This window comes from Homo sapiens, chromosome 16 (assembly GCF_000001405.40).
Source record: "Homo sapiens chromosome 16, GRCh38.p14 Primary Assembly".
In the NCBI taxonomy this organism is placed as follows: domain Eukaryota; kingdom Metazoa; phylum Chordata; class Mammalia; order Primates; family Hominidae; genus Homo; species Homo sapiens.
This window is the reverse complement of record NC_000016.10, coordinates 60,486,539-60,506,293: the sequence shown is the minus strand read 5'-3', so window position 1 is coordinate 60,506,293 and position 19,755 is coordinate 60,486,539. Positions and strand designations below refer to the sequence as shown.

Below are 19,755 nucleotides of genomic sequence, written 5' to 3'. Positions count from 1 at the left end.
ATAATTTATAATGTGTGTATGCATATGTTACAAACATATATATGTTTTATATATAGACATATTTATACATGGAAAGAACCTTTCCATTTATTGAAAATTTCAAAATGAACTAATTGATAAGGTTTATTTATATTTTCCTAGTTTCTGTATGTCAAGTAAGTTTGGATTATATCCTGGACATCTTAACACTGCATTATGAAACTGTGTGTTGCTAAAATCTTCTGGAGAGTGCTAATTTTATTTAAAATTTTTATTTGTTTTAGGGGACAATAAACCCAGAAAGGTCTATACTGCAAGTTCTGACCCACATCCTGTGGATCGTGGTTTCAACATCAGTTTAGTTTTCAAAGGCTTTGTGTTGCTATTCTGTTCTACTTCTTATGTTCACCACCCAGGGGCCAGTACGGGACACTAATGGTGGTCTATTTTAATCACCACTTCTGAAAGTCTTTGCCATTTTACAGTTTCACACGTGTACAGCTTGGAAGTGAGCCTGAGACTTTGTATATAATTTCAAAGAATTTCTTCCTTTAGCTCCACTCTAGTCATGATCTGCCATACATATGTGGGTTCCCGGGGCTTTTTATTTTTCCTAGCACTCTCGCTAGAAAGTAAGGGGCTTAGCTTCTCTGCACTGTTGCACACTTCCCATAACTGGGTCTGCACTGGGCAATGTGGCAAGAAAAAACGAGCCTATGAGGTCATCATACCATCACTATACTACATTGCCACCATCACTGCTGAAACAAGGGTGCAGTTTTGTAGCTGAGGCTCACCTTGGGAAAGACCAGAAGAATCAAATGAGATTTATTGCACGGAACCCTTTTCCAAGTTCTCTAGCTATTTTCTGTCTGAGAGCAATATTATCTTTATGCACCCATTTGTGACTTGGACCGCCTTAGAGTCTGAGTCTCCCAGGAAATCCAGGAGAAAAAAAAAAACTAGCTGCATATTGCCTTATGAGCCATTTCTTGAATTTTGATTCTCCTATCTTAGTTACTTGCTCATATTTAATTTTCAGAATCCTCCAATAAGTGTCTTTTTTTTTTTTCCAATAAGTGTCTTTACATTTTTTTTTACTTGTAATCATGGGAAGAGAAAGCAAAAGTGTCCTTGTTCCACCTTAAACTTATTCAGCTTCTTCTTAAAATGGCTTTTACTTTTTATTCGGATGTCTTGTTCTTTTGCTTGATTGAAATCCAGTGAATTTCAGAGTTACTTTAGTTATGAATTTCTGTTTTGATTTTATCCATTTTTTTTTGCCAGTTGGAACTACCATTGTTTAGAAAAAACAGTAAACCAAGAGATGTTCCCGTATCCCAAACATGTGAAGATAAATGAAGTATTTTACTTTTTCCATATTTTATACCATCCCGAATTATCTCTGAAGAATATTTGAAGTTCTTTTATTTCTTGAATATCTTCTCCCCCACAAACTTTTGGATAAGAATAATAATGTTCTTCGTATCATGAAGGTCTTTCTTAAACCTCCCACATCTGACTGAAGCAGTTCCTTACTGGTGACAGGAGAAGAAAATTAGAGGTTTTTATTTTCATCAGAGTATACATCTGTAATCCAAACACCTCTTATTATTGCACATATTGGTAATGTCTCCTAAATTAATTATAAAATAATAAAATAGACAAAATATGTAGAAATAAACAGATGCTTGATATGTTAACAAAGACACGCTACAAATAGGATGAATATGAAAAGCGATGGAGAATATAAGTGAAGTAAATTTAATACTACAGCAGAAATAGTAATAATAATCATCATCATTATTGTAATAACCACAACCATGATTTGATTGTCCAGTCTGCTGGATACCATGGTAGGTTCTGCATGTGCGCCATCTTTTTGTCCCCTCCAAGATGAGCCTTGGAATAAGTAATGTGCCTATCATGTAGAGAGTTAAAGTTAGGTAAGTCAAGTGTATCTTCTGCAGATTACATTCTAACTTTGTATACTTTGCTGAGATACTGTGTATAGTATAGTATACTGTGTATACTATTTTTCTATATTGCTCAGATTTTTGTAATCTCTCTCTCTCACACACACACATACACACACACACACTCATAAACCAGTTATCTGACAATTTGCCAAAACTTACTTGGAAGAGAGATTATTTCTTCTATCTATGTGTGTGTTTGTTTAACTAATTTTGTCATTGTTGTTGTCATGAGTGTTATGAACTAGATTAGAAAAAGTTTCCTGGATTCTGAGAAATTCAAGGATTCTGAGAAACTGCTTCTCTTTAATAGTTCCCGTGGCAAGTAGCATGGTCATTCTCTGGCCAGAGCTCTGTTTGGGGTTAGGCCCTAAAATTTGTATTTTTGAAACAATATTAAAAATAATTCCCTTTGGTAATTTGCTGGTTCATAAAGTTGGAAACGTCTTACTTAGAGAAATTGATGGTATAAAGTCAAATATGAAACAATATGGTTTCTGGCATCTGCAGCAAGCATTGTTAATATGGGATCTATGAATAGAATTGAGGCGATCTTTGAATATGGAAAATAAAACAAAATTGCATCTTTATTTTAATTAACATTAAACTGAAACTTGCATTTTCTTCAAATACAAATTTTTGCAAAAATATGATTAAGCTACTGTTTAATCAAGCAAGACATATGACTTTGTCACTAATAAAAACCACAGATATTGTAATATGTGTATTTTCTCAAATTATACTTGTGTAGATATCTGCATTATTAATCTCATCGCTATCTTGAAAGTATGATTGTTATTATAATAAAACTACACCAGGCTGTTAATATTTTAATTAAAAAGCACATAGATGACTACATTGATAAATTGCATTTTTAGTATTTTGATCACTATGTTTTGACATAATTGTTTTCCTTTGTAATCCTATGCTTTTTATTTTATGCATTTAAAAATAATTCTGAGAGGGTGTCTTTGTACTTCATCAGACTACTCATGGGGTCCAGGGTACAAAAAGGTTACATTTTCCTGTTCTAAGGGTTAATCTACTGAGTAAATAAAATGGGATTTTTACAAAGTAGAGCCAAGAGGCATAATGACCATCTTGTCATGTTTAATATTACTGTATAGTAAATACTTTACATTTACATGCTATCCCCTGTGCACCCCAACCAAACCCCAAACACTACTCTGTAGCTTCTTATTTTGTGTGTATATTTTGTGTGTGTATATTTTGTGTGTATATTTTTTCTGTGTATATATAGAGAGAGACGCACACACACGCACACACACATACACACACATGCTTGGGTATTTCACAATTACTATGCTGATTGTTATATTTGGGGAAAAGGAGATACAATAGAGGAAAAAGCTAAAAGAGTAAACTGAAGACAAAAATAAGACGGAAAAAATATAAAAAAGAGAAGGATAAAATGAGGAAGAAAGAAAAATCATTGAAACCAAGAGATAGATTTCTTTCATCCTCCTCTTAGTCAATAGCTTTAGACTTCCTATTCACTTACTATTCACAATCAACTAGAAAATAATCTCCCAGCACCTCCTTTGTCCCTTATCGTATTACATTGAGATTTCTCTTATCTTTTGTTTGTTTAATGCTATATTTTTCAATACTTCAAATATTTGCAAAATTCTGTGACTTAAAAGCAACCCTCCTTTCCCCAGGTACAGAGACTCTTTTTAATAACATAGTCACTTTAGAATGGTCAATAAATAACTTCATATTTGTTCACAATTTATTTTTTATATTTATGTAATGGCTTAGTTCTAATTCCATTGTACAGTTATTTTAATGTTTGAAATACTAAATATTTAAATTTTGTCTTTTTGGACTCCTACAGAATGTAACTTATCAATTTGACATGATGCCATTCTAATTTGCATGCAAAAAAACAAATAATTTCTAACCTCCTGTGATAGAGATTTCGTTTAATCTGCTCCCTTGTTTGAAAAAAAAAAATCACTAACTGCAATATCTTAAACCCCCAACTTTTTTTCATGAGAAATAATAATGGAATAAAAGAGTATTACTGCCAAAACTAGCTTCATTTAAATTTATGAGAAATAATAAATCAATCATTAAAATGGAAACTAGGCATGAATAAAATCGAGACAAGAACAGTGACAGCATTTTAAGTAAACTTTGTAACAATCCTCAAAAGCCCAATACTTATTGTTTATGCAATTGTTTTCATACAACCTTGTATTGAGCCTCCTTAATTATGCCATAGTTGAATTACAATTAATATGTAAATAGAAACATAAAACCTGGTTTATCCCATGTAGCGATCTGTACCAGCAAACATCCTTCACAATCCTCTCATTGGAAAGTCTCTGGGGTTGCTTAGGCATTCTATTTTTCTTTTCCTTTAGCTTTAGTAATCTGGTTGGCAAAGCTAATTCGGAGCAGGATGTGCTGCTCCTGTAACCTGTTTACAAATCTTTAACATCTGGAAAAACGTAGCTTCTCTGTTGGTCTCCCTGTACCCCTGACTCACTGACATTAAGTGTATTTATCACTACCTAAGGTGGGAGTGAATTTTACATGCTATGTTGTTGTTGTTGCTGTTCGTCTGCCTTTATTTTCAAAAACTACAGTGATTAATTATTTTAGGTAGATCATAAAAACATGTTCCTATGGATAGGATCACAAAAACACAGCCTATGGATTTTACATGAGTCAAGTAATAAATACAGAATTTGAGGTTATGTTTAAGTATTGTAATTAATTTTCTGCCCCTTCTGATTGTTCTCTTATTTTAGGAATATTTACCCTACAAAAAGGACCTCTGATTTTACCATCATGCTGGTAATTTATAGTATTTGATTTTGAATTACACAAAGCAAATAACCAACCACTAGAGGCTGGGAAGGTAAAGGGAATGGAGAGATAGGGAAAGATTTGTTAAAGGTTACACAATTATAGCTAGATAGGAAGAGTGATTTCCAGTATTCTATACCACTGTAGGATGGATACAGTCAATAATAATATATTGTATATTTTCAAATAGCTAGAAGAAGGTTATTAAAATGTTCCCAACACAAAGAAATAATGAATGTTTGAGATGATGTATATGCTGATTATCCTGATCTGATCACCATACATTATAGGTATGAACATGTACAATTATTATTAATTTAAAAATTGCAAAACTGAAGATAATAGAATGATTAAATGACATCACTCTGTTCTCAGCTTCCACATCAAGCCTATAACCCTTTTGGCAATAGATCCTGACCCTTTGACCACAGAATTTGGCACATTTCCTTACTCTGAATCCATTACTGTTCACTTTGTCCTGATTATAATGCTTGGATCACAAATGGAAACATGATTTAAGCATGGCCAGTTCAAATATTTTTCCAGGACTTTGGTGATGGACACTGAGAGCATTTCTCATCTTCTGTGTCAGAGAAATGAGTATGTGACTTAGGAATATTCCGACTATATTCCATCTAGGTAGAGGAAGTCTATTGTTACAGGAGAAAGCTAGATATCTATAAAATACAAAAGACTATGCAGACACACAGAATGACCAAGAAGCTAAAAAACTTTCAACAATTATTTAAAGATGAAGGTAGATACAGCTAAAAAGATAGCAAAAATATATGTACACATTTCACTCTCTTTTAGATGTATTAATTTGCTCTATTTTTTTAACTTAAGAATAAGTATACCTTATGATCAAGTGATTTCACAAATTGATATTAATAAAATAAATTTATATGCGCACATATAATTATATTTATAAAATGTTAAAGTATTAATTTTGGAATGATTTTAAATGTAGAGATTAATATATAGACTTTATATAAATTGTTACTTCAATTTTATGTAATATTACCATCCTTGAAGATAATGGTTTCCAAAAATTATTTAATGGCATGAAAATTATTAGTGTTTACTAAGTGGAAAATGGTCAAATGTTTAAATTTAACAAATCTCATAGTTAATATAAGTATACATTTAGTTTATGTTTCTATTTATACTAATATTCCATTAAAAAAACTTTAAAGAGCAGTAAAGGTAGGTCTTTCTAGGTGGTAAGAATATTGGTGATATAATTCTTTTGTTATTGTAAGTATTATCTAAGAAAACACTAACATTTCTACCATTAATCCCAGTAATTCCATTACTGAATATCTTATTATGTGTCATATCTTTCTATTAAGGTTTTAGAACTCTTTAAATGTGGTCCTCAAGCTGCTACTTAAATCAGATTTCAAAAAGCATATGTATTGTATTAGAATTCATAGGATAAATGACATTTATATATGGCACAATCATGTACGATGGCTGGCTGTCTCTCACACACACATGCACATCAGAATTCATAAATTATATTATTTTAGGATGACCTTGAAACCACTTTTCACTTTGTAAATTATGAAACTACTTTCGCTTTTTTACTTTTTAAATTAAATTATTTTTAAAACTTTACATGCTTATTGCTACAGGTAGAGGTTATTATTTCTGTCTCTGAAATGTGTGAGTTGGGCTACATCAGTATGTTAAAACCTTCTATCAAAGTCTATAACATTTGAGCTAGCAATTTCATGTCTGAAAAGTGGGCCTACATAAATTGAAGACATATGGAAATTTTTTGAATATTAAATGAAATTATTAAAACATGTGGCACATAGGAAATGTTAAATACATATTTCTATCATTACTGTTATTTTTAGCAGTAGAAATATAATCCATGAATGTAAGAGGTGAAATGGGTCTCTAGTAGGAATTGAAATGTTGAAGTTTTTTTCCAACTTTTCAGTTTATTTCTATCAAAGGACAGCTTGGGATATATGTAGTCATGTCCCTAAATGAGTATGATAAATATCACATTCATTTCACCAAAAACATGAAGGCACAAATATTTAAGATTACTGGCATCTGCATTTCTCTAATGTTACAGAGCTCAGAGTAAAACAGTAATAAGAGAATAAACAGGGTTAAATATGTTGCCATTATGACATTTATTTAAAATATTACCGAAATAACCAAATTAAACATGGAATAGCTATAGATTAATCCCAGGGTTTTCATTCAGGATAATTCATAGCATTGGTTATCCTAAAATACACAAAAATCCTAAATCTTATTTATTCTCTTATAGAGTTTTGTTTTATGAAATATGCAATATTATTAAAAATTTTGGCACAATGAGAATTTCATAATATTTTCTTTAAATGCAGGTTGTCTCAATAAAATGTTTTGGTGAACACTAATCCTGTACATTTCTCCTAGCTTCTAATTGTCTGGAGGTAGTAGAATGATGGCAGAGTGAAATCAAGTTGTAAATAACAGTGTGTTCACCTGTATGACATTCAAATATTAACGATAGTTAAACATGTTATTTCTCAAATCAAAAAGACTTAAAAAGTGAAATTCTTAAATATTGAAGGAGGAAACAGACGGCAGATTTCTGATGTTACTTCTCATCAGCTGTGGGTATAATTGTGACTAGCATTCCTCAATTGAAATTTTCTGCATCTTCAGTTAAACACCTCTGAAATTAGAAAGGATAGAGCTGAGCAGTTATCATTGAAATATAATAAATTAATTCAACCAAAGAATATGGTGCAGAAAATCCCTATCTGTTATATAACAACCACTTTAAATAATACCATTATGCAGGAGTAATTAACCTCAATCCTAATTTATTCTACATTGTTATAATACAACATCCCAAATCTGGTTTGTTCACTGTGTTGGATAGGGCAAGGCAGGATGAAGTTCTATTTTGTTTACGTATTTCTCTTCTATGCTTTGTAAATTACATATATTTGTGTTTCATAATGTATATGCTAGCACAATAGTTTATTCTTCTCATGTATATACATAAAACTATGATTTATTATTTTATAAACTGCTGATTTTGTCCCTAAATTTCAATTCCACACTTTTCTTCAGAATATAATTTAAATTTTAATTTAAATTATAATGTGGTCAGTGATGTGGCTAGTGAAAATACTCTTTCCCATCGTTCTGTATTTGCATTTGACCATGTGACTGACAATTGGGTAGTGAGGTAAGCAGAAGTATTCTCTGAGGTTTCACAGAATGCTCCTTGAATGCAGTTTCCCCGGTTTTTTGTTGTTATTGTCTGGAATAAGGGAAATTTAGCAAATACCTTAGATTATAAGCCTTTCTTGGATAATTACACAAAATACACGGAGGAGGTTTCAGCAATTTGTTCACAGAACCACAATACAAGCCCTATATAGCTGACCTTCAAAGAGAACAATATCAATGTACACATTGCTTAACCTAACATTATTTATTTGTTCTGATGAATACAGCCATACTAATCACAGTGACACAAAAAATATGGGGTTTACATCTCCAAATGTTTACTTATAGTTAAGTTTCATGATTACAGAATTTTGGAAACTATTAGTAGAAAGATGGTACTGATAATACCAAATTAAATCCAAAACCCAGAACTTAGGAAAACAACATTAGATTGGTGCAAAAATAATTGCGGGTTTTACCTTTGCTTTTAAAAGCAAAGACTGAAAGTTTCATAGTATTCTTATTATTAAATAACGGAAGTGTCTCTGTGTGTGTGTGTGTGTGTCTGTGTGTTTGGGATATATGGGATAAACAATGTATGAATGACTTGAAGTAAGTTTCTCACAACTATTAGCAGGTGTGGTCTTTTAATGACATCATATTAATCACAAGAATCTTTGGATATCAAACACATTGGTATACAACTTTTCTATCCCCACACTTCTTGGTTCTGAAGAAAGTAAAGAAAGAAAACCTCTGTCAACTGGGATTGCAGTCTAAATTATAGTTTCATGTGATGGGTTAGCAAGAAAAACTGCAGCATTTGCAAGAGTTTGGAATGGCATTCGGAAATTAAGATTTCATGCACACAGCTCAAAAGCTACTATTTAATAGGAAATCCTGTTACTCTACTTAGTATTTATGAATAGCTATAAATATTGATATATCTTTGTTCAGTCCCATAGTTTTTGAAAATAGCCAGTACGTTTTTGGGGATATTCTTTAAGTACCTTAGTCACAGTATAAACTATGGGGGATGCATTAGGCATACTATATACAGGAATTCTATAAAATTCTTCTTTGATTCTTAAATCTGAGTTTATCATTCTGCTTTTTTTGCAATTGTTTGTTGCTTTCTACCTATTTATTATAGTAATAATATGTTAGAAAATTTGAGAAAAATAATTACAAAGAGGAAAAATCAGTTTTTTAGATTTATTCATGTAAAGAGAGTGTATGAGACAATTACCAACATGCTTATAAAAAAGAGACAGTTTTGCTAAATAATTATTCTTTGAAGTCAAGTTTATCTACTTGTGATCATATTAAGCAGGCTTATGATTTGGCAATATGAATATTGCCAAATATTCATATGGCCTTATGATTTCAGCTGCATATCTTAAAAGAAGAAATTTTTAGAAAACTAAAACTATAGAGAAATAGTATTTTTCATTTTTTTTCTTGAAAAGCTGCAGTACAATCAGTGTGGAGTTTTTTTCCCTCATAAGTGGAGAGCAGATGAAAAATTATGAATTTTGGAACAAAGAAAACCACCACATTTTACATATGTTTAATAAAATACAAAGCAATATCATACTAAAGCAATTCAATTTAAATATTTAAGACACAAATAAAATAAAAAGTATTATTAAACAGTCTAATGCGTTTAGACAATTTCCTGCCATATTATTCATGAACATGGTCTTAAGTAAATAGCCTCCCTGTAATTGTTTATTTTTCTGAGCAATAAAAGCTATGTCTCTTGGACAATTGTACTTCAACTTCCAGGCAATTAATGTGTCTTGCTATAGAAATGCAATGTGCAATATATTATTTTAGGAAAATGTATCCTAAAATATGTAACATTTTATATAATATTAGAAACATAAAAACTTCATAAATTTCACTGAATTATTCTTATATTTTTGCCTGAAAGGACTTTGCATTTTATATGTGAAATCGGCAGACTCTGTGGCAATGTCTCTTTGATGAAATATACACAATAAAGGATGATAGATCTATAATATCTCTGATGTGGCCAGTAGAATTAAAGGATGAAAAATATTTAAATAAAAGATGGAAAGAAGAGGAAAACAGGTTTTAAGAATAATCATTCAGTTTTCTTTTACTTTTGCAAATGTCAGAATCATACCTTGCTTCCATAGCAAGTGAACAAGTTTGGAAGTCCATATGTTTCTATATTGGAGATGCTTTCAGTTCTACCATTCTGGTTTGACAATAGATTGGGCCATGTTTATGGAGCCACATGAATCCTGAGTCTCTGAGGGCTTTAAGGTTCAAAATAAAATTTAATTAATCTCATCATAATAAAGGGAAGTTTATAGCTGCTTATCTGTTATAATGAACATCCTCACGTTATTGTAGGACCTTAGCAAAAAAGACAAACTATTGTCTATCACTCTTGAAACATGCCCTTCATCATTTACTATTCCCCAAAATACAGAGGGACAATTAGATCAGCTCTATGACTAGCCAAGGCAATACTGAAGGAGCTTAATTTGCATCACAATACCTTTCTTGATTTTAAGCAAGTTATATAGATTTGTCGGCCTTAAATAGATCATATCGGTCTTGAATTGTATTTCTGGGAGTTACAAAATACACAGCATGTGTTCAATTTATATATGTCAAGGGATATAGCAAAAAAAGGATATAGCAAAACATTCTCAAGTTAAAAAGGAAACTTAACTATTATTTATTCTGTTTCTTACTTCATTCACTTGTGAATTTTACACCATTCATTATTAGCTTAAATATTTGAAGGTTTTAGGTCATGCAGCCCTCACCAAGTTATCATATTCCATGACAAGCTGCTCCACCTAGCATTTGGCTGTCCCTCCTAGGGAGGGCATATTTTCCTCTTTAAAAAGATATTTATGTAAGTCAAATAGGAATGTCAAACCACCTCACTTCTTTTTTACTTAGTATTCAGAGATAAGTGAAATGTGTCTCAAACACTTTTTTAATGCATTCATTTTTATACAGCCATCTCTATATGATTTAGTTTTATATCTTTTTAGAACAATATTCTAAAGGCAATATTTTTTAAAGTTCAATCACACTTAAGAGAGAAGCTTGCATGAATTCTTAACTTAAAGATTGTGAAATATTTAATTTATGAAAACATTTTAGGTAAAGTTGAAGAGTCCCTTGCCCCCAAAGGAGCTCTACTGTTTGCAGCATAAAGTGTTATTTTAATAATAACTAATTAAGTTAATAGTGCTCATTATGTCATTGAACCATGAAATTATAAATCTCTTTCCTCCCCTAAGCCTCTTTGACCAGAATGGTTGAATAGCCTAATAATTTACAAATCCTATCAGCAATATTCTGAATTTATAGCATCTTAATTGAATCAATGCAATAAATAAAATGTAATTCTAGTCAATGATATTTTGCATCAGTACTTCAAATTATTTTCAGCATGTTTAAACAATTGATTTTTTTTTGACAAAATGCAATCTGGTATTGAGGATCTGTAGTTCTGAGGGAACTATTTATTTTTCTATTGAAGTATTTCAAAACTTCTTTTAATTACTTCAGTCTCTTTCATGGCATACAATTACAACATGTTAAGTTTCTCACCACCCCTTTCTCTTCTGCTATGCTTTCATGCTAAGGATTTAATCCAATAATATGCTTTCTACTACCATTATAAGGATGACTATGGCTCCATTAAAACATCCCCTTATGTTTGTTGTTGTTTTTCTTGTTGTTTTTGTTGTTGTTTGAGACAGAGTCTCACTCTGTTGCCCAGGCTGGAGTGCAGTGGCATGATCTCAGCTCACTACAATCTCCGCCTCCTAGGTTCAAGCAATTCTCCTGCCTCAGCCTCCTGAGTAGCTTTTGTATTTTTGTATTTTTTTTTGTATTTTGTATTTTTAGCCACTGCACCCAGCTACTTTTTGTATTTTTAGTAGAGACGGGGTTTCACCACGTTAGCCAGGCTGGTCTCGAACTCCTGACTTGACATAATCCGCCCACCTCGGCCTACTGAAGTGCTGAGATTACAGGTGTGAGCCACCGCACCTGGCCATGTTTGAATTTTATATTCAAATTATCCTCTATTCTTAGCTCAAGCCAGAGCATCGGTTGGCAACATTCTGTATCCCATAAATGATCCGGGAGCCACCACACACGAACAATAGAATAGCTTCGATAAACTGTAATTTAATAGATATTAATTTATCATTTGTTATTTAATTATTGAAATACTGGAACATTATATTTTGGGCTTAATAAAGCCTACATTGTAAAAAAACATTAAAAGGAAAATCTCTGACTTATCATTTTATTCGCTCTGGAAATTTCAGTAGTATACTATGTTATACTTTCTCTTTATTTGAGAAAGTACTTTCAACAGAAACCCAGAGATATCTAATTAAAAATGACTTAAAACAAAATTTTTTGGCAATAAAAACTTCACAATTTATCAGTTTTTTCTTTTTTTGCCTTGGTGACAAAAAAGTTCAGAGCCAAATTGTGGAGTTTATAATAATACTTATTTACAAGTTAAATGGGGCTGGGTATGGCAGCTCACGCCTCTAATCCCAGCACTTTGGGAGGCAGAGGTGTGCAGATCACCTGAGGTCAGGAATTCAAGACTAGGCTGGTCAACATGGCGAAACCCTGTCTCTACTGAAAATACAAAAATTAGTCAAAAGTGGTGGCACGAGCCTGTAATCCCAACTGCTTGGGAGGAGGCTGAGGCAGGAGAATGGCGTGAACCCAGGAGGTGGAGGTTGCAGTGAGCCAAGATCACGCCACTCCACTCCACTCTAGTTTGGGTAACAGAGTGAGACTCCGTCTAAAAAAAAAAAAAAAAAAAGCAAGTTAAATGTACTCCAAGAATTTGTTTTTCTTAACATTGATTTCCTTTGGCTGATGGATTTCATGGATTTACATTGTTTGATGCATCTGGCTCTCTCAGTCTCTTTTTTCTTTTTGTCGATGAAAGTGTTCACCAGGAAGGATATGTTCCATGTTGTTTTAGTGAAGATTATCTTATAGTCAGCAGTAGAGAGAAACTGAGGCATTGACACCACATTAACCTAAAGCCTGTGTGTAAAACTAAATTTTAGTACTTTTATGGTATAGTTTCATGTACTACATTATATACTATGCATACCATTCAATCAGGGACTAGCAAACTAAAACCTGTGGGCCAAATCCTACAACTCATCTGGTTTTGTAAATAAAGGTTTATTGCATTGCCTATTGTTGCTTTCTGCTATAAAGGCGCAGTTGAGTATTTGTGACAGAAACTATATGGTTCACAAGGACTAAAAATAGTTATCTGGCCTTTTATGGATGAAGCTTGATGAATTACAGAAAAATTAATGAATATATTTTTAATTCTCAAGTCCAGTGGGAATATAATAAAAATGTTGTTTGTATGGAAGAATGAGTTATTCTCTAATAAGAATCAAGAACTTAAACTTACGTGTTTAATATGTGTCTCCAGACTTAAATTAAAATCTTGATTAAAGAATCGAGTTCTTCTAATCAGATCTGAATACCTGACACATGCCATAATAAAGGCTCAAAGTGAACCTAGAGAATCTGAAACCACAAAGTCCTAGATTTAATGAATTCTTAGATAAAATGAAATGGTTGCCTCTATCACAAGGGCTTTGGAAATGCATTCATGTAAAGCTGTCAAATAAAACGTATTTTTCCCTTTAAAGAGACCTCTCTGCTATGAAAAAGAAAGAAAAGGTAAAACAAAGGAACATAACTACTCATGCTCCTTCCAAAAAACTACTATAAAATATTAAGGAAAAAGATTGTACTTGAAGTCAGCTCTGAAATAAGTATCTAAATAATAGGTAAGGTATTATGGTAACAAAAATTTTTATCTAGCATGAAATCCCAAGAACTTGTATTACATAGGTATACTAAATAGAATTTAGATTTAAGGATAATAGCCGCTACGCATTAAGACACATAAAATGTCAGATATCATCTTTACTGAAACAAAAAATAGCAATATAATACTAAATAATAAAATCATATTTGTAAGTGTTTTAATAGCTTCTCGTAAAACTTGGTTTCCTAAACTGTTTCCGTCATTAATTTTTAAGGTTTCTCAGTTGCAAATTATTCTATCAGAAAGATTATTAAATTGAACATGTTTTGATTTCAGTGGCTACTGAAGTTTAAACTATAGATCCATTGTTAGAGAAGGAATAATGCTTCTCAAGAAGGAATAATACTGGTTAAAATATACATGCCACTGTCATGCCATTACAGACACAAAACTGTAAACTGTATGCAAAATCACCAAATTTACACAAGTGAAGAGTAAGGAGTAACTTTGGACATGAAGGTAAAGACTCAAAAAGTAGCTAAATCCATTTCATTTTACTTCAGACATCTTAGAGATAACTTTCTTATTTTCCTCCTCTCTACCATCACCTATTCTAATTAAATCATTATTTCTCAGTGGTTACCTATCCTAATTAAATGACAGTAGATTCCTAATGGGATGTTCTGCCACTAAGCAGGTCCTTCTCCCTTCTGCATCAGAGAAGCCAGAACTCATAGTAGTATTCTTAGGATCAGTGATCCCAAGTGAGACATGTAGCATGTGTATTTCATATGCAGACTTTCTGGTGTCCTAGGTGTTGTTCTTACACTAAAATCCATTCTTTTTCATGGGGCATTTAAAGGACTGTTTGCTTTCAACTTTCTTTTCTCGTTTCTTGCAGACGTTTACATTTACACTTCTTCTTCTGAGCATATGATACAGATATACTTGCTATGGTAAGACATATTGAGCATTTTTATATGTTGATGCCTTGGTTAATGTCAGTTCTTGTCAGTCTTATCCCACAAATATTTCCCTACAGACATAAGATAGTGACAGAATCATCCAGAGCAGTTGTCTGTAGTACAACTACAGTTTTTCTGGCGAATTAGCCTGTTCAAGCCACATAGTTTACACTAATTTCTCTTACTTCATTTTTTTTAAAGCACAGAAAGTCTCCTTTCTACTCCATAATGTGCCAAATACTATGTATATACTAGAAAAATCGAATCATATAAGATACTTATTTAAAACCACGAAAGGCGGAAAAGGGAAAATTAGAAAAGAAGAAACAAAGAAGAAGTATAGAGAGTGCTTACAAAGATAATAGATATTAATCCAACTATACAATGATCACTTGAAATGTGAATAGTCTAAAATTGCCAATTAAGAGACAATGACTAGCAGAATGGATGGAAAACAATACACAACTTTATATTACGTATAAGATACTCACTTTACATATAAAGATACAAACAGATTAATAGATTACACCCACACCCACACACACACACACACACATATATATATATATATATGTTATTTCACCTTGACTATGAACTCCTTGTCCAGGGATCATAGCTAATATGTCATTCCATTACTCAAGTCACTAAAAAAATTATTGCTAAAGAAAAAATATATATCAAATGAATAGCTGTAATACAAAGGACTATTTATTCATTGATGTTAAAATTTGAATTGCAGACAAATATTTCCTTTTAGTATCTTTACAAACATTGTAATATAATTTTTAAGCATGAATATGTTTTCTTCCTTTAATGCAACCCCATCACCATTTAAATATGGGATAAAAACATTAAGGGTCTCATTGTGTTGCGGATTTGCCAGTTCTATAGATAATCCATTTGTATTTAAAGACTAAGAGAGGTGGAAAAGCAAAATTGTGACTAAAATCCTTTTGCTTTTTGAAACTGCTCTACGGTTGAAATGTCGGCATCTTGTATGTATTATTTTAATAATGAATACACTATTTTTTACCACAGTGTTAGATTTACAGAATAATCTAACAGATAATATAGAGTTCTACGTATGCATTCCATCTGCTCCCTCCACTCTCACACAATTACCCCTCATGAGCAACTTTCATTAGTGCAGTATACTCATTATAACTAATGAAACAATATTGATGCATTCTTCTTATATTATGGTCCATGGTTTACATTAAGCTTTACTTTTTGTGTTGTACATTTCTATGGGTTTGACAAATACATAATTATTAATATATTTATATTAATTTTAATTTTATATAGTTGTATTGCCCCCCCAAATCCCCTGTGCTCCACTTATTCTTTCCTCCCCACCTCCACTAGAATATTCAGCAACCACTAACTTTTTTGTTGCCTCTGTAGTGTTGTCTTTTCCAGAATGTTATATAGTCAGGATAATGTGATATGTAATCTATTTAGATTGGCTCTTTTCACTAAGCAATATGTATTTAAGCAATATGCATTTTCACACTAAGCAATATTTCTACCAAGAAATAAACTACCAAGCCAGAGAAAACATGACAGAACCTTGTAATGAATAATATTGCCCTGTATGAACATGCCACAGTTTGCTTATCCAGTCAGCTTTGGAAGGCCATCTTGGTTGATTCCAGGTTTGGCAATTATGAATAAAGTTGTTATAAACATTCATAAGAAGGTTTCTGTGTGGACATAAGTTTTCAACTCATTTGAGTAAATGCCAAGGAGCACAATTGTTGAATCAGATTATATAATATGAATATGTTTAGTTTTGTAAGAAACTGTCAAACTAGGAGTGGCTGTACCATTTTGCATTCCAACTAGCAATGAATGAGAGTTCACCCTTCACTTTTAACCTGCATTTTTACATGTAAAGTCTGTAAACTTACCTTGTAACTTACCTATAAACTCAGAAACAGTATGTAATTGGTTGTTGTTTTTCTTCCACTCTGACAGTCACTGTCTTTTAATTGGCAAAGTTAGACTATTCACATTTAAAGTGATCATTGGTATAGTTCAATGAATATCTGTCATGTTTATAAGTTTTCTCTATTTGCTACACTTGTTCTTTCTGTTTTAAAATCTTCACCATTTTTTGCCTTCTCTGCTTTTAAATGAGCATGTTATATGATTCTATTTTTCTCTCATTTCTTAGAAGGGGAACCATAATTTAAAAAATATTAGTGTTTGTCCTAGCATTTCCAATATACATTTACCACTAATGCAAGTCCACTTTCAAATGCACTACACCACTTCAAGGTAGTATAGGTAATTTAAAACAGACTATTCTCAATTCTTCCTTCTAATTACTTATGATATTGCTGCTAATTATTTTTCTTATACCTTTTTAATAATCACATGATATGTTGTTACTATTAGTACTTTTAACAGTTATCTACTAGATCAGATTCAGGAATAAGAAATATAAAGATAGTATTTTATCTTCATTTATACCTTCTCTGACACTCTTCCTTTTTTCCTATAGAACCAAGTTTCTGACCTGTAAGAATTTCATTTTCTCTGAAAAACTTCTTTTGATATTCTTTGCAAGGAAACTTTTATGGATGAAATTCCTTTATTTTGTGTTTATCTATGGAAGTCTTCATTTCTCCTATACTCTTGAAGGATAATTTCACTGGATACAAAATCCTAGGTCTTTTAAGCATTTTAAATATTTTATTCTATTCTCTTCTTGCTTTCATGGCTGACAAGAAGTCTGATTGATCCTTATACTTGTTCCTGTATAGTTCATGCATTTTATACCCTCTGGCTCTTTCCAGGATTTTTTCTTTGTCTTTGGTTTTCTGCAGTTTGAATATAATACACCTAACTGTAGATTTTGTTGGTATTTATCCTGATTAGTATTCTGTGAACTTCCTGGATTTATGGGTGCTTTTTTTGTCGTTAATTTTAGAAAGTTTTAAGCCATTATTACTTCAAACATTTCTCTGGATTTATTCTTTCTTCTCTTTCTGGTATTCTCATGATGCGTATCTTAAACCTTTTAAATGACCCCATCATTCTTCAATATTCTATCCTATTTTTTTTTCCTTTCTCTTTCGTTTCCTTTTCAGGTTGGGAATTTTTGTTGTGTCTAACATTTTCTTTTGATATTTTCCTAAAAGTTTCATAACTTCTCTTATATTACTCATTACTTCTTGCATATTTTATATTTTTTAAATTATATCCTTTAGAATATCAGTCTTTGTTTATTGGCGTGACCATTACAAAATCTTTGCCATATCTGAGTCCAGTCCTGATATTTACTTTTTCTTTTCTGATTTTGTTTTTTTTCTTGCCTTTTAGCTGTCTTGTAATTTTTATCGAAAACTGAACATAATTTATATAGTAAAAGGAAATGAGGTAGATAGATCTTTGGGTGAGAGTTTATCTTTTTAAGAGTTAGCTATGTTTACTCTTTGCTGCATCTACAGATGTCAAAAGCTCAAATTTACTCTTGTATCCTTGATTTTGTCTCCTTTGTTATTTGTGGGTTTCCCTTAGAAAGTCCTTCTTAGAGTCCTAGCCTTGCAGGTACTGCAGTTATATCCCACTGTTATACAGGACTCCTGTTGATGTGGTGGTAAGGTGTGGGGGGGAGGAGAGGATTCCAAAATTTTATATTTAGGTCTTAGTCTTTTAGTGTCCTGTGTTTATAGGCTGTGGCCCTTGCAAGTGCTTCTTAGCATTTTCCCGTCTTAAGGGAGATAGACGGTACAGAAAGCTGGATTTGGGCATTTTGCTTCCCTCATGTACCTAATGCTCTGATGAAGTCTTCTCTCTTTCTGAGTATGCCTTTGTTTTACAGGAAGATCTGGGCATATTTCATAATTGTTACTTTCACCTTCACCCTGACCAAACTTGAGGGGATTTTTCTCCAATTTTCACCATGAAAACTTGGTGGGGCTCCTGGAGGTAAAACCTACAAAAGTGTGGGGGCCTCCCTTTGCTTGGCCCCCTCCAGAGTTTTAACTTCTAAACTAGTCCATAGTCAGCCTTCAGCAATACATTTAAATGTTTCTATCAGTTCCAGGCTCTTGTGATTTCTGCTTCAAGTAGATTGGTATATATTCTCTGTATTAGCCTGCCTCCCCAGTTTTTGGGGTGGTGATTTGTTGTGTGACCTCAATTCTCAGAAGTATTTAGGAAAAGTCATTGATTTTCAGTTTGTTCAGCTATTTTTTTTCTTGTTGTAAGGGTGGGAGCAATGTTTCCAAGGTCTTTACATGTCAAAAGCAGAAATATATATATGTGTATATATATTTCTTATATATATTTATATTTACTATATATTATATATTTATATATTTCTTATATTTACTATGTATTATATATATTTTATATATTTTATATATAATAAATCAATGACAAGTGATGCCATTAATTTATTCATTTATTCATTCCTTATTCATTGACATATAGCCAATCAAGCTGATGTCTTCAATTTATTCATGTATTCATTCATTATTCATTGATATATAGCCAATCAAGCAAGCAAGCAAACAAAAATATATGAGTGCCTATCATGGACCAAAATTTTGCTGGCTAAAGACTGAAGAAATAGAAGATAAAGTTTAAATACAGTTCATTTGTCTTCTTTATAGACTCACTTTTTGCAGCAGACAATGTGCTATGTCTGAAACAGTAAATTCCAGGGACCTTAGAAGAAAATAACTGCACCTAACTCAATTCTAAGTAATGAGAAACTCTTTGTGTAATCTGAGGTGAGCATGAGGATGCAAGGAGTCAGTCAAGCCAAAGAAAGACAAGATTGAATGCTGGATATGAAGAAAGCAAGGAGAACCAGGTAAAATAGGTGGAAAAGATGTCGAGGAGAATGTAGCCTAATCTTTATGCCCAATATTGTTCACCAACAATCAGGATTTCATATATATAAAACAAGAATATTTGCTGTACATCTAGAAAAAAATTATAACTGTTTCAGGCATTCATT

General features: G+C 32.1%; 1 long non-coding RNA gene across 6 annotated transcripts in view; it reads right to left on the bottom strand.

The window, feature by feature from the left end:
* LOC101927605 (uncharacterized) overlaps nucleotides 1-19,755 on the bottom strand; it is a 187,474-nt gene that overhangs the window by 40,962 nt on the left and 126,757 nt on the right. For 2 of the 6 annotated variants that reach the window (XR_002957906.2, XR_007065084.1), the window contains 2 exons: nucleotides 10,138-10,273; nucleotides 6,928-7,479 (listed from right to left, as the gene is read on the bottom strand). The exons of the other annotated variants lie outside the window; for them this stretch is intronic. This is a non-coding gene — a long non-coding RNA (uncharacterized LOC101927605). Of the gene's footprint in view, nucleotides 1-6,927; nucleotides 7,480-10,137; nucleotides 10,274-19,755 lie in introns of those variants that run through there. 6 annotated transcript variants of the gene reach the window in all.